Here is a 20,635-nt window from a genome sequence, read left to right on the forward strand (position 1 = left end):
CTTCTCACCAGCAACGGAACAAAGCTGGACAGAGAATGACTTTGACGAGGTGAGAGAAGAAGTCTCCAGACGATCAAACTACTCTGAGCTACAGGAGGAAATTCAAAACAATGGCAAAGAAGTTAAAAACTGTGAAAAAAAATTAGATGAATGTATAACTAGAATAACCAATGCAGGGAAGTCCTTAAAAGAGCTGATGGAGCTGAAAGCCAAGGCTCGAGAACTAAGTGAAGAATGCAGAAGCCTCAGGAGCCGATGCCATCAACTGGAAGAAAGGGTATCAGTGATGGAAGATGAAATGAATGAAATGAAGCAAGAAGGGAAGTTTAGAGAAAAAAGAATAAAAAGAAACGAACAAAGCCTCCAAGAAATATGGGACTATGTGAAAAGACCAAATCTACGTCTGATTGGTGTACCTGAAAGTGATGGGGAGAATGGAACCAAGTTGGAAAACACTCTACAGGATATTATCCAGGAGAACTTCCCCAACCTAGCAAGGCAGGCCAACATTCAGATTCAGGAAATACAGAGAACGCCACAAAGATACTCCTCGAGAACAGCAACTCCAAGACACATAATTGTCAGATTCACCAAAGTTGAAATGAAGGAAAAAATGTTAAGGGCAGCCAGAGAGAAAAGTCGGGTTACCCACAAAGGGAAGCCCATCAGACTAACAGCTGATCTCTCGGCAGAAACTCTACAAGCCAGAAGAGAGTGGGGGCCACTATTCAACATTCTTAAAGAAAAGAATTTTCCACCCAGAATTTCATATCCAGCCAAACTAAGCTTCATAAGTGAAGGAGAAATAAAATCCTTTACAGACAAGCAAATGCTGAGAGATTTCGTCTTTCTTTCTTTCTTTCTTTCTTTCTTTCTTTCTTTCTTTCTTTCTTTCTTTCTTCTTTCTTTCTTTCCTTCTTTCTTCTTTCATCTGTCTGACAGGATCTGGCTCTGTCACCCAGGCTGGAGTGCAGTAGCACAATCATGGCTCACTGTAGCCTTAAACTCCTGGGCTCGAGTGATTTTCCCACCTCAGCCTCCTGAGTAGCTGGGACAACAGGCACACACCACCATGCCTGGCTAATTTCTTTATTTTTATTTTTTTGTAGAGATGGGGTCTTGCTATATTGCCCAGGGTGTCCTCAAACTCCTGGCCTCAAGCAATTTTCCCGCCTCAGCCTCCCAAAATGCTGGATGACAGCTGCAAGCCACCACAAGCAACTCTGTCATAATGCAGTCTTTATAACCAGCTGAGCACAATCTCTACTCTCAAAATAGGGCTCTGAAGTCTAGGAACAAGTCCTCAGCTCCTGAAATGACAGAGGAGGAAGTGAGTGAAGTGAATGAATGAAGGACACAGTCAATATTGAGAATAATCACAGTGATTGCAACTGTAAACCCTCCCTGACGCGGCCTTGCTCTGAATGCTACTCTGTTGGTCTTTCAGGATGGTATCAGCACTCCCAGCAGACAGAGTGGCTCAGGGCTCACACCAGGTCCCTCAGCCCACACCCATCAGACTTGGGGTTCAAACTCAGATCTGTCTGTTTTCAAGACAGAGCCCAACCAGCCTGCCTGAAATCAGCCAGTGAAGACTTAATTGAGGGATTGCTAGGAGACAGATGGTCTCACTGGGTAGATCATAATCAGGCAATGCCAGAGGGAGGATCCCCACTGGCCACCCCATTCCTACTGTGTCTGAGGACACATGGACGAAGCCTCAGCTCAGGGCTTCGTGTTAGGGTCCTGGATTTGGGGTGGGGGGGCAGGATGTGCCTTGTCGGGGCTCCCTGCTCACCACGCCATGGCTCAGCCTTGTCGCTGCTGGTGGGCCGCCTCTGCTCCTTTTCTCTTCACTCCCTCTCTTCTTCCAGTGATGCTTTGTTCTTTTCCCTTTGACGTTTCCAGAAGATGCAGATGCCTCCAGCTATTACGAGTCCCATGGCAACAAGGATCAGAGGCAGAGCTGCTTTCCATGCCGTGAACTGGGAGCTTCTGGAGAAGGTAGCTGGAGAAGATTCCCAGAAGCCAGGAATATTGGGGTAAGAGAGTTTCTGTGTTCTGAGGTCAAACTTGCTAAAGAGTTCAGTAGTCCAGGGACATAATATTTGCAAATTACTGTGAAATAGTTTCCAAAATAGTATGTATTTGCACAGCTGGTCTATGGACCGAATGTCTGTGTCCCCCAAAGGGGTTGAAATCCCAACCCCTACGGTGATGATGTTAGGAGGTGAGGCCTTTGGGAAGTGATGAGGTCATGAGGGTGGAGCCCCTGTAACGGATATGATGGGAATGGTGCCCTTATAAAGGGGAGAGCCCAGAGAGCTCCCTCACCCCTTCCACCATGTGAGGACACAGTGAGAAGGCGCTGTCTATGAACCAGGAAGTGCCCTTGCCAGACACCAAATCTGCCACGCCTTGATCTTGGACTTCCCAGCTTACAAAACTGTGGGCAATAGCTATCTCTTGTTTCTAAGCCACCTGGTCTGTGGTATTTTGTTATAGGCACACAAATGGAGTAAGACAGTTGGGTTTAGACATATGCATAGGAAGTAGATATTAGATATCTATTTGTAGATAGACAAAGGGAGAAGTGATAAAAAGAAATATCGCAATAAGGTAAAAATATGGTGAATCTGAGTAAAGGGTGCACAGACAACTTTTCTATTAATCTTGCAAAGTTTCTGTAAGTTTGACATCATTTAGAAAAGTAAAAGTGAAAGTTTTTGTGAAAAGCTAAATTTGGAAACAACCAAGATATTTTTTAGTAGGTGAATGGATCAATAAACAGTGGTCCATCCAGATCCTGGAACGTTATTCATTTCACAAAAGAAACAAGTTATCAAGGCAGGAAAAGACATGGAGGAAACCTAAATGCGTACCACAAAGTGAGGGAAGTCAAAGTGAAGGGGCTACAGAGGCACCGTCCCAACTACAGGACATTCCAGAACACCTGGAAACTATGGAGACAGTGAAAACATCAGTGGTGGCCAGGAGTTAGGGGAGATGAATGAATGAGCGGAGCACGGAGGATTAAGGGCAGTGACATTATTTTGTATGATACTATGACAGATATGTGGCATTATATATTTATCTAGAACCATGGGACACCATGCCAAGAGTGAGCCCTCATGAAAACTGCACTCTGGGTGCTGACGGCATTGTCAACGGAAGTTCATCAAACATGGTGGACGTTCCTTCTGGTGTAGGGTTTTTATGCTGGGGGAAGGTGTGTGAGGGGGTTAGGGGAAGATGGGAACTCTCTGGACTTTCTACTAAAATTTGTTGTGACCCTAAAACTGCTTTAAAAAATAAAGCCTATTTTAAAAAACCCTAAAAACTGTTGATATTAGGATGTACATTTCTTGTTCCCCCAAAGGCAAGGCTCTCCCCAGGGTCCCTGCACCCTTATCTCTGTTCCTCTTCAGTAATCAGCACCCAAACAGTGCACCTCCTGGGATGCCCCAGCCATGTGAGGACAGGGACCTGCCACCCATCCCTGCTTGCCACAAACCCCACAGCTGTCTCTTAATGTCCCCAGTGTCCAGGGCCACGGAATCCTGTGCTCAGTGATTGTGAGGACAGAACTGAATAGAGGACTCACCGGGCAGGTGGCTCTCAGCCACCTTCCTCCTTTCAGGGAGGAGGGGGCTGGAGATGGAGCAGGAGAGACCCTCCACAGCCCTGTCCCAGAGCGTCAAGCTGGATGCCACAGCCCAGAGCCTGGTGGTGGCTGAGGCTGATAGATTGGTCACAGCAGGCCTAGCCTGGCCCCTGAAGTCTCTCCGTTCCACCCAGGACTTGGGGAAACAGCCTGCTGATGTGCACTCCGCCCTGACTCCATCCTGCTGGTCTGTCACCTGGATTCTGGGCTCTCTGCCCAGCCCTGAAGGAAGAGACAGCAGCTTGAATCTTTGCAGCCATGGCTGCTTCTATTTAAAGGAAAAACAAAATCTTGAGGATTTCCAATGTATTTTGGCAATTTCACAAACTGCCTACCCTGTGTTACACACCATCCCTAACAGAGTTCCCCATTTCCCAGACAAAAGAAGGGAAGCAAAGTGGAAAAGGTCCAGGAAGATTGAATAGGCATCCTGTGTTGCAGAAGTAGAATTCATGGCACAAGATGGGACCCAGGCTTGTCTGTTTCGAAGCACAAGTTCTGAGTCACTCGGGAAACCTCCCGTATCTGAAGACTCTCTTCTCTCTCTTGGCCTTTCTGTCTCCTGTCATTATTTCTCTGTCTCTCTCTTCCTCCCACTCTCTGTTGCTTACTGTCTTTCTCATTTTCTTTTACTGTCTCTCTGTCTCTGTCTCTATCTCCCTCTCTCTGTCACTGACTCTGTCTCTTTGTCTCTTTCATTCTCTCTGTGTTTCTCTCAGTTTCTCATTCTCTCTGTCTCTCTCCATCTCTGTCTCTCCTGTCTTTCATTCTCTGTCTCTGCCTGTCCCTCCCTCTCCATCTCTCTCTTTCCCCATCTCTATAATTCTGTCATTCTTTCTTCATCTCTCTCTGTCTTTCTCTCATCTCTCTGTCTTTCTCTCCATCTCTCTTTCCACCTCTGTCTGTCTCTCCCTGCTTCTTTCTCATTCTATCTCTTCTTCTCTGTGTCTCTCTCATTCCCCCCATCTCTCTCTTTCCCTTCCCTTCACTTTCCAGTCCACTGGTGTAAGGAGGGAAAGGAAGATGAGGAAGGTGGCTCTGCCTTCACCGCTGTGCTTCCCGGGAGCAGTGCAGGCCAGCACGGCAGCTGGGAGAGTGCACTCTCACCCTACTGAAAAGCCCTCCACCTGAACACGCTGGGCCCCAAGGCCATGCCTGGAAGTAGACTGACAGCCAGCTAGCCACCAGCCTTACCTGCCACCTGCACCTGCACAGTGGCCTCGCCGAACTTTACACCATCCTTGAAGCGGCAGCAGTATGTCCTGTTGTCAAAGGTGGTGACCCTGTGACTCCTCACCATGGCCTTGCCCCTGGCCACGTGGTCACTCATGAAGGTGGTCCTTCCTCTGTACTGCCACTTTTGCTCTCCATCCATGTCCATCCCTCTCTCATGCATGTGCACAGCTAGGGAGGGCTGGCACCTGTACCACCTCAGCTCCATGTCCTCGGCACTGATATTGGGGAACAGCTGGCACTGTAACTCCACGTGTCCCCCAGCCATAGCCAGAATAGGGGCATGAGGCCCAGTGACATCAAAGTCAGCTTTCCCTGGGGGAGGCAGATCAGAAAGGGCTGGGTTAGGCCATGTGTTGGGAGGCCAGGGCACTTCCCCCCTGCCCCTCCCTCTTCTTGGAAGCTTTGGGGACCTATTGAGCCCTGAGCTGCTGGGAGATGCTTCAGCTTCCCGCCATGCTGGACACACCCCCACCTATGCCAGGGCACCTGCCTCGACTTGCACAGGAGTCTGTCCCTCAGTTTTGACAGATGCTGGCCAGTGGGAGCTGCAGGAAGACCAAGGTGACAAAGCAGATGGACAGGAAGGCCTCTGGATCGCATGTCACTGCCATTCCTGCCAGGCCGGAGCCACGCACTGTCACTGGGAGAGGAGCCACCGCCAGGAAGCTAACAGGTGCAGAGGAAAAGTGCCATGGAAGAAAAAGAAGAAAAAGGTCATTTACTCTCACTCTCAAACAAGTTATTAATGCTATAAATGGAGACACAGCAAGCCTCATGTGCTCCTGTACCCATCTCCTTGCGGGTAACACACCTCTCACCCTAGTCTGTCTGCGGAATTCCACGAGGACATCCAGGAGGGAAGGGGTTTGATTTTCTAATTGCTCATAAAGAGCTGTAGCCCAGTCTCTAGCTGGTGACTGTCATGAAACTCCAGAATGCTGGGGGAGAAAACCCAGACTCGGATTAAGCAAATTCGAGGTCAGAACGACATCAAGGGATTCCCTTAATGTCCCTTGCTTTCCTGCTGTCCCCATGGGGACTTCTACAGTCAGGGGCTGGGGGCTGGGCCCAATCCTCAGAGCTCTTCAGCTGGGATGGGCAGGCCAAGACCCTCATGAGTCTCTTGTGAGCATTTCTTGTAACCTTGGTTTAGAGAGCAGGTGTTGGTAAAAAGTTCTGTGACCTTGGGCGGTTCTACCCAGCACAGCCATCCAGGTTGGGCATTTACGTGTGTGATTAGGGAGTTGTGTGGGCACAGGCTCTTGTCCTGTTTGGTTCTTGCATTGCAGGAAGGCCCTGTGGTCCTTCTGCCCTTGGGGATGGGGAGAGGGTGGAGGAAGCAGAGACACTGAAGAGCAAACCACATCCTGACCATAGACAATGCTCACCTGGCACCGAGAGCTGCTGCAGCTTCCCTGGGAAGTCCTGGCAACTTTGGGGGAATGAATTTAGTTTCCTGCCAACTCCAGGTAGGGTGTGACCCAGACCAACCACGCTGTCTCCAAGCAGTGATGTGAAAGGCAACCTAGACATCTGGCAAAAGCCGCCAAGTCCCCCAGTTTCCAGAGATTCTTCCTTTTGTTTTTTGCAAAAATATGTAACTGTACCTTTCTGGCAGTTGCAGCAGAAAAAAAAAAAAAGGCTTCCTGAAGAGTGTGATCCCCAGTGTGGAACACCCCAGGGCTGGGGAGCAGGAGATAGAGCCCGCCGGGAGGAGACGGGTCTCAGGGTGGGACCCAGGCCAGCTGAAGGAGCTGCAAATGCAGATAAAGCCTGTGGTTATCTGGCAGCGTGCAGGCCCAGCCTAGCTGGCCCAGGTCCTTCAGGAAAGGTGTTTATGATCATGTCGCAATGTCCTAATTCCTGTATTGTCCCAGAGGGACGTTCAGGGCTCCTCTTCCCCAGCCCTTCGCTGCCCTCCGTGGCTGTGGGGTCATGGGTGTCTGTTCTCACTGGTAGCATCCCTGGCCCAGCTTAGAACCTTCATGCTGATTTCTCGCACCCAGCCGCAAGGCCTATTCCCTCCTCACCTTCTTGTTTGATGATTCAAAAGTCTGGGCCTTTTCCTGGGTGGTTTTTGTGAGAAAGGAGTCCTTGCTTTCCTAGAGGGAGGAGCTTTATCCAAACTCTGCAGACGGGCTGAGCACTCCCTGTGCCTGCGGGCGGTGAGGAAATCCAAGTGCCAGGTCCCTCCTATGTCCCTCCTTGGGGGAGCGTCTCTTTGGTCAACCGGTTGTTCCCCCTTTTATATGTCAACACGTAAGAATTATGTCGTCCTGTGATCTGCTTTTACCAGACAATGACGTGACCTAAAACTCGACTCACTTGTCCTTTTTAAAAAAATAATTGACCAGACGCGGTGGCTCACACCTGTAATCCCAGTACTTTGGTAGGCTGAGGCAGGCAGATTGCCTGAGGTCAGGAGTTCAAGACCAGTCTGGCCAACGTGGTGGAAACCCATCTGTACTAAAAATACAAAAAAATTAGCCCAGCATGGTGGCCTGTGCCTGTAATCCCAGCTACTTGGGAGGCTGAGGCAGGGGAATTGCTTGAACCAGGGAGGTGGAGGTTGCAGTGAGCCAAGATCGTGCTACTGCACTCCAGCCTGGGTGACAGAGTGAGACTCTGCCTCAAAAAAACATTAATTAATATGTTGTTAAAGACAGGGTCTCACTCTGTCACCCAGGCTGGAGTACAGTGGTGTGATCTCAGCTCACTGCATCCTTGATCTCCCAGACTCAAGCAATCCTCCCATCTCAGCCTCCCAAGTAGCTGGGACCACAGGTGCACCATCATGCCTGGCTAAATTTTTGGTATTTTTTGTAGAGATAAAGTCGTGCTATGTTGCCCAGGCTTGTCTTGAACTCCTGGGCTTAAGCAATCCTCCCACTTCGGCTTATCAAAGTACCGTGGTTACTGGCATGAGCCACTGTGCTGCATCCAGTCACACTTGTCCTGATGACTTGGGAAGAAGGACTCAGGTTTGAACAATCTAGAGTGAGCCGCTACGATGTACAGAGCACACTGTGTTGAGAGCAGATTGTGATGCCTGTTGTCGGATGAAGAGTGTCACAAGCACTGGGAGAAGCTATGGCAGAGAAAGGTGTCCTGGCGGTGTGGGCTTTCAGCCCATGGGTAGGTCACCTGACACGGTGGTCCTTCTGTGCATGAGCCCATGTGTGGCCCAGAGTCTCTCATGTGGGCAGTCGGGGCTCCTGCAGACACATTCAGCTCAACCCACCTCAGGTACAATGTTTAAAGTTCAAAGGCAAGAAGAAGACAGGAGGTCACACACTGCACAATTCCATTCATATGAAATGATCAGACAGGTAAATACAGGGACAGAAAGAAAACTGTGGTTGTTGGGGCTGAGGAGATGGGGGAGGTGGAAATGGAGATGAGGAATAACTGTTTAATATTTTGGGGGTTTTATTTAGGGTGATGAAAATATTTTGGAATTAGATAGAGGTGGTGGTTGCAAAACATTGGGAATGTACTTAATGCCACCAAATGGTATGCTTTAAAATGGTCAATTTTATATTATGTAAATTTTATCTCAATTGATAAAAAAGAAAAACATTAAAAAAAGAAAAAGCAGAAAAAAAGAACAAAAACAACAGAGTGAGAGAGAGGAGAGAGAGAGAAAACAAACAAATAACAAAAAAAAGAGCTGCATATCCACCCTCTTGTGGATGGGATTATGGTTAAAAAACAAGAAAACCCCCAAATCTCAACTTTGTTAAAAATGGGATTGTCTGGCCTTTGGTGCCCTCTGCAGGAATGGATGTCAGTGCACCAGTCCCTCTTCCCAGTTTTCTTTTTCTTCTTTTCCTCAACTTTTATTTTAAATTCAGGGGTACATGTGCAGGTTTGTTACATGGATTTATTGCATGACACCACTGAGGTTTGGGATCTGAGTGATCCTATCACTCAGGTAGTGAGCATAGTACCCAATAAGTTAGTTTTTCAACCCTCTCCCTCTCCCTTTCTCTCTGCTCCAGTAGTCCCCAGGGTCTCTTGTTCTCATCCTTATGTCCATGCGTGCCCAACGTTTAGTTCCCACTTATAAGTGAGAACATGTAGCATTTGGTTTTCTGTTCCTGTATTAATTCACTTAGGATAATTGTCTCCAGCTGCATCCATGTTGCTGCAAAGGACATAATGTCACTTTTTTATGGCTGTGTTGTGTATATGTACCACATTTCTGTATGTACATATACACATGGTGTATATGTACCACATTTTCTGTATCCAGTCCCCCAATGACAGGCACCTAGGTTGATTCCATTTCTTTGCTATTGTGAATTGTGCTGCAATAAACATATGAGTGCATGTGTCTTTTTGGTAGAATGATTTCTTTTCCTTTGGTTATGTACCCAATAATGGCATTGCTGGGTCAAATGACAGTTCTACTTTTAGTTCTTTCAGAAACCTCTGAATTGCTTTCCATGGTAGCTTAACTAATACACTCCCACATGGTGTATAAATGTTGCCTTTTTCTGTACAAATTTGCCAACATCTGTTAATTTTTTCACTTTTTAGTAATAGCCATTCTGACTGGTGTGAGATAGTGTCTCATTGTGATTTTGATCTGCATTTCTGATGATTAGTGATGTTGAGCATTTTTTCACGTTTGTTGGCTGCATATATGTCTTCTTTTGAGACGTGTCTGTTCAAGTCCTTTGCCCATTTTTAAATGGAGTTGTTTTTAGCTTGTTGAATTGTTTAGGTTCCTTATAGATTCTGGATCTTAGCCCTTTGCTGATAGTTTGTGAGTATTTCATGAGTATTTGAGTTTGTGAATATTTTCTCCTGTTCTGCAGGTTGTCTGTTTACTCCATTGATGGCTGCTTTTGCTGTGCAGAAGCCCAGTTTCTCCTAAGATCCCCTAGAAGCCAGAGAGATTTTCTGTCGGAAGGAGTCCTCTTGTATTTCCCTCCCCCTCCATCTGTTCTGGGCCTGGGAGCCAGCTTTGCTCTCTGGGCCCTGAGCAGGCCAGTTTGTGTCCTCTTTTCTCAAAGCGCCTCTGAAAACAGCTCAACTGGTGTTTTCCCTGTAGACCCTCTCTCTGTCCTATAAATGGGACCAAACCCATAGGGGCAGTCTTGGAGGACAAATGACACTCTTCCTAATCTCTCCTTCTTCTCCCTATTCCCTGCACAAACTTTCTACTTTCCACAACCCCTGGGACTGTGTGCATAGGGATTCCGGATCCTCTAAGCATTTAAAACGATATTTACCCAAGTCATGGATGATATGTCTCACCTCACTCTTGGATGGTAAATTTGCTCCCTGAGGCTTTGCAATTTCTGTCTACACAGTGTCTAGTCCAGGCCCAAGTGGTACCTTGCAGCAAGCATACCCCGCTTCTGTTTTCCTAAGGCCTCCCACTCTTTAATGCAAACCATGTATTTTTTCTCAATATTATGTAAAGTGCTCTGTAAATGTAGCTGGAAGAGCCCCCTAACAAGCAGATCCGCCAAGCAGCCCCTCCAGCATGGACATTTAAGGATTGCCTTTGTGTCTTAGACTCTGGAGATAGTGTTAGTTGAATGACTACCAGGTGGGTGCAATGAAGACTAAAAGCCACAGGCTGGCCACTCTTGAGGAGACAGGACTCAGAAGGGGCACGCAAGGATGCTGGGGCCTTCAGGATGAGACGGAAGGTTCAGCAGAAGAGAAAGATAAAAGAAAAAGAAAAAGTGAGATGGGATACAGCAAGGGAAGAAGAAGAACTAAATTAAATGAAGTAAATGAAGTAGGGTCATTTTGTACACAGATTTGACGCAGATTATTTATTCATAAAAGTCTGTGTCAGGCATTCAGGTCCTTTGGAATGCATTAGTGAATCAAATGAACAAAAGTTCATTTTGTTGATATCAGGAGTTGATATCCTTCTTTCTCTAATGCCTCCTTCTCCTTTTCTTCTTCTCCACATTCTCATCTTCTTGCTACTCTCCATCCTGCTTCTCCTACCCTCCTCCTCCCACATTTTTCTTACATTATTCTTGTATTTCTCCTTTTTCTCTCTCATTTTCCCTTCCTTTTCCTCCTCCTTTTCTGCTTCTTCTTCATTATCATGATCTGCTTTGTGGTTGTCTTTTTACGCTCTCCCTCTTCTTTATTCTTCTTTGCCATCCTCATCTTGGCTATCTTTGTCATCACCTCATTCTCCTTCCCTTATCTCCTTCTCCTTCTCCTCCTCCTCTTCTTCCTTCTTCCCCTTCCCCTTCTTCCCTCCTCCTCCTCCTTCCCCTTCCCCTTCTTTCCTCCTCCTCTTTCTCCTCCTCCTCCTCCTCTTCTGAGATTTTACCAGAGCCAAACCTCGTTGCCTAAGGGAAATACCTAATTGTATTTAACTCTAAACTGCCTGACTTAATAATGGGGGTGAGGACTGAGAAAACCCATAAAAGTCATAGCCTAAGGAGACCAAGGCTTTCTACAAATAATGGCATACGTCAGCTCAGGAAAACACTTCCATTTCCACCACAAATCTGGAAAGTATTCCAGATTTTAAAGGACATACACACATAGCTCCCCAGACAGACACAAAATCACACAGCTATGTGTGTAGCTCCCCAGACAGACAAAAAATCACACAGCTATGTGTGTTATGTCCTTTAAAATCTGGAATACTGTTATTTCATTGTATCGTCTAATTTCTGTGGTAGTGCATCCCTGGGCATGTTGAATAGAAGTGGTGAGTGCAGACATCCTTGTCTTGTTTCTGATATTAGGGGGAAGGCATTCAGTCTCTCAGCATCAAGTACTTTGTTAGTTGTGGGGTTTTTATAGATGCCTCATAGCATCTCAAGGGAGGTCCTTTCCATTCCTAGTTTATTGAGTGTTTTCATCCTGAAGGGGTGCTGAAACTTGTCAAATGCTTTTTAAAAAATATTTTCTGGACCTGGCACAGTGGCTCACACCTGTAATCCCAGCACTTTGGGAAGCCGAGGCAAGTGGATCTCTTGAGCCCAGCTTGGCCAACATGGTGAAACCCTGTCTCTATAAAAAATACAAATAATTAGCTGGGCATGGTGGCATGCACCTGCAGTCCCCACTACTCGAAAAGCTGAGGTGGGATGATCACAGTAAGCTGTGATTACACTGCTGCACTCCAGCCTGGGTAACAGAGTGAGACGCTGTCTCAAAACAAAACAAAACAAAACAAAAATATGTTCTGGATATTAATACCTTACCAGACATATTATTTCCAAGTATTTTCTACAAGTGTGTGAGTAGCATTTTTACTCTATTAAAGGTGCCCCTGAGGGACAAAAGTTTTAAATTTTTATGAGATCAAATTTGTCCTTTTTTGGTTGGTGTTGACTGGGTTTGTGGTGTCATATGCAAGAAATCATTGCAAAATCCAAAGTTATGAAACTTCTGCCCTATATGTTCTTCTAAGGGTTGTTTAGTTTTAGCACTTTCTTTCAGGTCTTTGATCCATTTTGATTTCATTTTTGTATGTGGTGTAAGGAAACTGTCTAACTTCATACTTCTACAGCCCTATTTTTTTTTCAGATACTTCCTTTTCCACTGAGTGATCCTGGCACCATCTTGAAAATCATTTTATCATATATGTGAGGGCATCCATCTTGGCTTTCTATTCTACACATTGGTGTGTGTGTCTGTCTTTGTGCCAATATCACACTGTTTTGATTACTGAAACTTTCAGTAAGTTTTGAAATCAAGCACAGTGAGACTTCCAGCTTTGTTCTGCTTTTTCAATGGTTTTGGCTAATCAGAGTTTCTTGTTATTCCATATGAATTTTAGAATGGTACTTTCTTTTTTTTTTAAGTCTTTGGGATTTTGGTAGGAATTGTATTGAATTTGTATATCATTTGGGGTAATATTAACATCTTAACAGTATTAACTCTTCCAACCCATGAACAGGGGATGTGCACATACAGGTGGGTACACCCAGACAGACACATGAGCTCAGTAATCCTCAGAGATGGCACAAAGACACCAACAGATGTTCAGAAACACACAGCCCAGGCTGCCACGGTCACTACTGCCCTTCTTACCTTCCTTAGCAACAACCACCATCTGTCCACTGTGTGTTTTACTTGCATCTCTTGTTCCCTGTTTCCTACAATGTCACCTTCAAGTGGACAGGGTTATTTGTTCTGTTTTATTCACGGTAGCCCCTACTAGAAGGTCTGTTACACAGGAGGAGATTAATACTTGGTGAATCACTTGGGCTGAAACATAGACACACACACGTGCATGCGTGCGCTTGCACACACACACACACACACACACACACACAGATTTTAACAAACCTCATCATAGGTCCATAGCCACTTGATTTTCATAATGTTCTCAACTGCATGTCACGTGGCAGAGAGGTGTCTCCTGGATGATAAGCCAATACCAAAAGGTGAGTTTACCTAAATGAAAATGTAGACCCACACAAAAACCTGTACAGGGATGTGTACAGCAACATTATTCATACTTTTCAAAACTTGGCAGCAACCAAGAGGAAGAGGTATAATAAATTTAACAAAAGTACAAAACTTATAGTCTGAAACCCACAAACCTTGTTGAAAGGCATTGAAGATTTAAATGTTAGATCTCAAGAGCATAGATAAGTAGGCTTAATATTAAGAAGGCAACACTACCCAAAACAATCCACAGATTTCATACAATTCCTGTCAGTTAAGTACCTTGCAGAATTTAAAAAGTCAATGCTAAAACTCATATGGGAACAAAAAGGCCTCAGAATACCACAATGCTCTTGAAAAAGACCAAAAAAGGAAGACTCACACTTCAGTTTTAAAACTTGCCTCAAAGCAACAGTAATCTAGATTGTATACTAATGGCACAAGAAAAGTCCTTTATATCAATGAAAGACAACAGAGTCCAGGAAGAGTGAGGTGAGTATAATGGCAGAATGAGCTTCTCCAAACACCTCTCCTTGCAGAGAAACATGGAAAAACAAGCAGAATGGCCAGGAATAACTTTGTCAAAATTCTTGAATACTGTCAAAGGTTTTTTTTTTTTTTATACTTTAAGTTTTAGGGTACATGTGCACAACGTGCAGGTTAGTTACATATGTATACATGTGCCATGTTGGTGTGCTGCACCCATTAACTCGTCATTTAACATTAGATATATCTCCTAATGCTATCCCTCCCCCCTCCCCCCACCCCACAGCAGGCCCTGGTGTGTGATGTTCCCCTTCCTGTGTCCATGTGTTCTCATTGTTCAATTCCCACCTATGAGTGAGAACATGCGGTGTTTGGTTTTTTGTCCTTGCGATACTTTGCTGAGAATGATGGTTTCCAGCTTCATCCATGTCCCTACAAAGGACATGAACTCATCATTCTTTATGGCTGCATAGTATTCCATGGTGTATATGTGCCACATTTTCTTAATCCAGTCTATCATTGTTGGACATTTGGGTTGGTTCCAAGTCTTTGCTATTGTGAATAGTGCCACAATAAACATACGTGTGCATGTGTCTTTATAGCAGCATGTTTTATAATCCTTTGGGTATATACCCAGTAATGGGATGGCTGGGTAAAATGGTATTTCTGGTTCTAGATTCCTGAGGAATTGCCATACTGACTTCCACAATGGTTGAACTAGTTTACAGTCCCACCAACAGTGTAAAAGTGTTCCTATTTCTCCACATCCTCTCCAGCACCTGTTGTTTCCTGACTTTTTAATGATCGCCATTCTAACTGGTGTGAGATGATATCTCATTGTGGTTTTGATTTGCATTTCTCTGATGGCCAGTGATGATGAGCATTTTTTCATGTGTCTTTTGGCTGCATAAATGTCTTCTTTTGAGAAGCCTCTGTTCATATCCTTTGCCCACTTTTTGATGGGGTTGTTTGTTTTTTTCTTGTAAATTTGTTTGAGTTAATTGTAGATTCTGGATATTAGCCCTTTGTCAGATGAGTAGATTGCAAAAATTTTCTCCTATTCTACAGAATGGTTGCCTGTTCATTCTGATGGTAGTTTCTTTTGCTGTGCAGAAGCTCTTTAGTTTAATTAGATCCCATTTGTCAATTTTGGCTTTTGTTGCCATTGCTTTTGGTGTTTTAGACATGAAGTCCTTGCCCATGCCTATGTCCTGAATAGTATCGCCTAGGTTTTCTTCTAGGATTTTTATGGTTTTAGGTCTAACATTTAAGTCTTTAATCCATCTTGAATTAATTTTTGTATAAGGTGTAAGGAAGGGATCCAGTTTCAGCTTTCTACATATGGCTAGCCAGTTTTCCCAGCACCATTTATTAAATAGGGAATCCTTTTCCCATTTCTTGTTTTTGTCAGGTTTGTCAAAGATCAGATAGTTGTAGATATGTGGCATTATTTCTGAGGTCTCTATTCTGTTCCATTGGTCTATATCTCTGTTTTGGGACCAGTACCATGCTGTTTTGGTTACTGTAGCCTTGTAGTGTAGTTTGAAGTCAGGTAGAATGATGCCTCCAGCTTTGTTCTTTTGGCTTAGTATTGACTTGGCAATGCGGGCTCTTTTGTGGTTCCATATGAACTTAAGTAGTTTTTTCCGATTCTGTGAAGAAAGTCATTGGTAGCTTGATGGGGATGGCATTGAATCTATAAATTACTTTGGGCAGTATGGCCATTTTCATGATATTGATTCTTCCTACTCATGAGCATGGAATATTCTTCCATTTGTTTGTATCCTCTTTTATTTCATTGAGCAGTGGTTTGTAATTCTCCTTGAAGAGGTCCTTCACTTCCCTTGTAAGTTGGATTTCTAGGTATTTTATTCTCTTTGAAGCAATTGTGAATGGGAGTTCACTCATGATTTGGCTCTCTGTTTGTCTGTTACTGGTGTATAAGAATGCTTGTGATTTTTGCACATTGATTTTGTATCCTGAGACTTTGCTGAAGTTGCCTATCAGCTTAAGGAGATTTTGGGCTGAGACGATGGGGCTTTCTAGATATACAATCATGTCATCTGCAAACAGGGACAATTTGACTTCCTCTTTTCCTAATTGAATACCCTTTATTTCCTTCTCTTGCCTGATTGCCCTGGCCAGAACTTCCAACACTATGTTGAATAGGAGTGGTGAGAGAGGACATCCCTGTCTTGTGCCAGTTTTCAAAGGGAATGCTTCCAGTTTTTGCCCATTCAGTATGATATTGGCTATGGGTTTGTCATAGATAGCTCTTATTATTTTGAGATACATCCCATCAAGATCTAATTTATTGACTTTTTAGCATGAAGCATTGTTGAATTTTGTCAAAGACCTTTTCTGCATCTATTGAGATAATCATGTGGTTTTTGTCGTTGGTTCTGTTTATATGCTGGATTACATTTATTGATTTGCGTATGATGAACCAGCCTTGCATTCCAGGGATGAAACCCACTTGATCATGGTGGATAAGCTTTTTGATGTGCTGCTGGATTTGGTTTGCCAGTATTTTATTGAGGATTTTTGCATTGATGTTCATCAGGGATATTGGTCTGAAATTCTCTTTTTTTGTTGTGTCTCTGCCAGGCTTTGGTATCAGGATGATGGTGGCCTCATAAAATGAGTTAGGGAGGATTCCCTCTTTTTCTATTGATTAGAATACTTTCAAAAGGAATGGTACCAGCTCCTCCTTGTACCTCTGGTAGAATTCGGCTGTGAATCCATCTGGTCCTGGACTTTTTTTGATTGGTAAGCTATTAATTATTGCCTCAATTTCAGAGCCTGTTATTGGTCTATTCAGAGATTCAACTTATTCCTGGTTTAGTCTTGGGAGGGTGTATGTGTCGAGGAATTTATCCATTTCTTCTAGATTTTCTAGTTTATTTGCATAGAGGTGTTTACAGTATTCTCTGATGGTAGTTTGTATTTCTGTGGGATTGGTGGTGATATCCCCTTTATCATTTTTTATTGCATCTATTTGATTCTTCTCTCTTTTCTTTATTAATCTTGCTAGCAGTCTATCAATTTTGTTGATCTTTTAAAAAAAACCAGCTTCTGGATTCATTGATTTTTGAAGGGTTTTTTGTGTCTCTATTTCCTTCAGTTCTGCTCTGATCTTAGTTATTTCTCGCCTTCTGCTAGTTTTGAATGTGTTTGCTCTTGCTTCTCTAGTTCTTTTAATTGTGATGTTAGGGTGTCAAGTTTAGATCTTTCCTGCTTTCTCTTGTGGGCATTTAGTGCTATAAATTTCCCTCTACACACTGCTTTGAATGCATCCCAGAGATTCTGGTATGTTGTGTCTTTGTTCTCATTGGTTTCAAAGAACATCTTTATTTCTGCCTTAATTTCGTTATGTACCCAGTAGTCATTCAGGAGCAGGTTGTTCAGTTTCCATGTAGTTGAGTGGTTTTGAGTGAGTTTCTTAATCCTGAGTTCTAGTTTGATTGCACTGTGGTCTGACAGACAGTTTGTTATAATTTCTGTTCTTTTACATTTGCTGAGGAGAGCTTTACTTCCAACTATGTGGTCAATTTTGGAATAGGTGTGGTGTGGTGCTGAAAAGAATGTATATTCTGTTGAATTGGGGTGGAGAGTTCTGTAGATGTCTATTAGGTTCGCTTGGTCCGGAGCTGAGTTCAATTCCTGGATATCCTTGTTAACTTTCTGTCTTGTTGATCTGTCTAATGTTGACAGTGGGGTGTTAAAATCTCCCATTATTATTGTGTGGGAGTCTAATTCTCTTTGTAGGTCTCTAAGGACTTGCTTTATGAATCTGGGTGCTCCTGTATTGGGTGCATATATATTTAGGATAGTTAGCTCTTCTTGTTGAATTGATCCCTTTACCATTATGTAATGGCCTTCTTTGTCTCTTTTGATCTTTGTTGGTTTAAAGTCTGTTTTATCGGAGACTAGGAATGCAACCCCTACCTTTTTTTGTTTTCCATTTGCTTGGTAGATCTTCCTCCATCCCTTTATTTTGAGCCTATGTGTGTCTCTGCCTGTGAGATGGGTTTCCTGAATACAGCACACTGATGGGTCTTGACTCTTTATCCAATTTGCCAGTCTGTGTCTTTTAATTGGAGCATTTAGCCCATTTACATTTAAGGTTAATATTGTTATGTGTGAATTTGATCCTGTCATTATGATGTCAGCTTGTTATTTTGCTCGTTAGCTGATGCAGTTTCTTCCTAGCCTCGATGGTCTTTACAATTTGGCATGTTTTTGCAGTGGCTGGTACCAGTTGTTCCTTTCCATGTTTAGTGCTTCCTTCAGGAGCTCTTGTAAGGCAGGCCTGGTGGTGACAAAATCTCTCAGCATTTGCTTGTCTGTAAAGGATTTTATTTCTCCTTCACTTATGAAGCTTAGTTTGGCTGGATATGAAATTCTGGGTGGAAAATTCTTTTCTTTAAGAATGTTGAATAGTGGCCCCCACTCTCTTCTGGCTTGTAGAGTTTCTGCCGAGAGATCAGCTGTTAGTCTGATGGGCTTCCCTTTGTGGGTAACCCGACCTTTCTCTCTGGCTGCCCTTAACATTTTTTCCTTCATTTCAACTTTGGTGAATCTGACAATTATGTGTCTTGGAGTTGCTGTTCTCGAGGAGTATCTTTGTGGCATTCTCTGTATTTCCTGAATCTGAATGTTGGCCTGCCTTGCTAGGTTGGGGAAGTTCTCCTGGATAATATCCTGTAGAGTGTTTTCCAACTTGGTTCCATTCTCCCCGTCACTTTCAGGTACACCAATCAGACGTAGATTTGGTCTTTTCACATAGTCCCATGTTTCTTGGAGGCTTTGTTCGTTTCTTTTTATTCTTTTTTCTCTAAACTTCTCTTCTTGCTTCATTTCATTCATTTGATCTTCCATCACTGATACCCTTTCTTCCAGTTGATCAAATTGGCTACTGAGGCTTGCGCATTCATCATGTAGTTCTCCTGCCATGGTTTTCAGCTCCATCAGGTCCTTTAAGGACTTCTCTGCATTGGTTATTCTAGTTAGCCATTCGTCTAATTTTTTTTCAAGGTTTTTAACTTCTTTGCCATTGGTTCGAACTTCCTCATTTAGCTTGGTGTGGTTTGATTGTCTGAAGCCTTCTTCTCTCACCTCATCAAAGTCATTCTCCATCCAGCTTTGTTCTGTTGCTGGTGAGGAGCTGCGTTCCTTTGGAGGAGGAGAGGCACTCTGCTTTTTAGAGTTTCCAGTTTTTCTGCTGTTTTTTCCCCATCTTTGTAGTTTTATCTACCTTTGGTCTTTGATAATGGTGACATACAGATGGGTTTTGGTGTGGATGTCCTTTCTGTTTGTTAGTTTTCCTTCTAACAGTCAGGACCCTCAGCTGCAGGTCTGTTGGAGTTTGCCGGAGGTCCAGTCCAGACCCTGTTTGCCTGGGTATCAGCAGCAGAGGCTGCAGAACAGCGGATATTGGTGAACAGCAAGTGTTGCTGCCTGATGGTTCCTCTGGATGTTTTGTCCCAGAGGAGTACCCGGCCGTGTGAGATGTCAGTCTGCCCCTACTGGGGAGTGCCTCCCAGTTAGGCTACTTGGGGGTCAGGGACCCACTTGAGGAGGCAGTCTGTCCATTCTCAGATCTCCAGCTGCATGCTGGGAGAATTGCTACTCTCTTCAAAGCTGTCAGACAGGGACATTTAAGTCTGCAGAGGTTTTTGCTGCCTTTTGTTTGGCTATGCCCTGCCCCCAGAGGTGGAGTGTACAGAGGCAGGCAGGCCTCCTTGAGCTGTGGTGGGCTCCACCCAGTTCGAGCTTCCAGGCTGCTTTGTTTACCTAATCAAGCCTTGGCAATGGCGGGCGCCCCTCCCCCAGCCTCACTGCCACCTTGCCGTTTGATCTCAGACTGCTGTGCTAGCAATGAGCAAGGCTCTGTGGGTGTCGGACCCTCCAAGCCAGGTGCAGGACATAATCTCCTGGTGTGCCATTTTCTAAGACCATTGGAAAAGCGCAGTATTAGGGTGGGAGTGACCCGATTTTCCAGGTGCCGTCTGTCACCCCTTTCTTTGACTAGGAAAGGGAATTCCCTGACCCCTTGCACTTCCCGGGTGAGGGGATGCCTCGCCCTGCTTTGGCTCATGCTCGGTGCGCTGCACCCACTGTTCTGCACCCACTTTCCAACACTCCCCAGTGAGATGAACCCAGTACCTCAGATGGAAATGCAGAAATCACCCATCTTCTGCGTCGCTCATGCTGGGAGCTGTGGACTGGAGCTGTTCCTATTTGGTCATCTTGGCTCCACCCCCCTCAAAACTGTCAAGGGTTTACAGGAACCAGGTAAAGAAGAATAAACAACAGTGAAAAATGGAAGGAAAGCCTGGTGGATAGTTTACTTGTCCTTGCTCCAACCTCTCCTTGGCTTGGTGCCAGTCTTTTAGACAACAACCTGAGTTCCCAGTGTGGGGCCCTGGTCACACGTTCCAGAGGGAGTGGAGATCTTATTTGCAAATTATCATGTTTCTATGTTCCAATCTATCTGGGGGCTACGTAAAGTTCTGAAACAAGGCTCTCATCTGTTTTGTCCAAGTCAGAACCCAGTCAATGTGGAAATCTGGCAGGAATTGCTTGGAAGTGTTAAGTAAGGCTGGGCATGGTGGCTCAGGCATGTAATCTCAGTACTTTGGGAGGCTGAGGTGGGTGGATTACTTGAGGTCAGGAGCTCAAGACCAGCCTGACCAACATGGCAAAACCCTGTCTCTACTAAAAGTACAAAAATTAGCCAGGCACGGTGGTACACAGGTGTAGTCCCAGCTACTTGGAAGGGTGAGGCATGAGAATTGCATGAACCCAGGAGGCAGAGGTTGTAGTGAGCTGAGATCTTGCCACTGCACTCCAGCC

The 20,635-nt window shown here is 44.6% G+C and overlaps 1 long non-coding RNA gene and 1 pseudogene across 2 annotated transcripts, besides 1 other annotated feature; one reads left to right on the forward strand and one right to left on the reverse strand.

Annotated features, from left to right (window-relative positions):
• Positions 1-928: 928 nt before the first annotated feature.
• Positions 929-6,569, reverse strand: BTNL10P (butyrophilin like 10, pseudogene; annotated as a pseudogene). The gene is made up of 5 exons (NR_172558.1): positions 6,289-6,569; positions 5,391-5,566; positions 4,859-5,212; positions 3,605-3,886; positions 929-2,008 (listed from the first exon to the last, which is right to left on the reverse strand). The product of NR_172558.1 is annotated as a butyrophilin like 10, pseudogene (transcript).
• On the forward strand, positions 1,255-3,340 carry LOC105373124 (uncharacterized). Its single transcript, XR_949233.3, has 3 exons — positions 1,255-1,330; positions 1,909-2,042; positions 3,099-3,340. It is a non-coding gene; the product is annotated as an uncharacterized LOC105373124 (long non-coding RNA).
• Positions 4,346-4,847: an enhancer, noted in NCBI's record as "H3K4me1 hESC enhancer chr1:228698839-228699340 (GRCh37/hg19 assembly coordinates)". NCBI's record gives its function as "activates a minimal SCP1, AML or CMV promoter by ChIP-STARR-seq in primed H9 embryonic stem cells {active_cell/tissue: H9 hESC(primed)}" and the evidence as "EXISTENCE:reporter gene assay evidence [ECO:0000049][PMID:30033119]".
• Positions 6,570-20,635: the final 14,066 nt, after the last annotated feature.

The sequence above is a fragment of the Homo sapiens genome, chromosome 1 (genome assembly GCF_000001405.40).
Source record: "Homo sapiens chromosome 1, GRCh38.p14 Primary Assembly".
In the NCBI taxonomy this organism is placed as follows: Eukaryota; Metazoa; Chordata; class Mammalia; order Primates; family Hominidae; genus Homo; species Homo sapiens.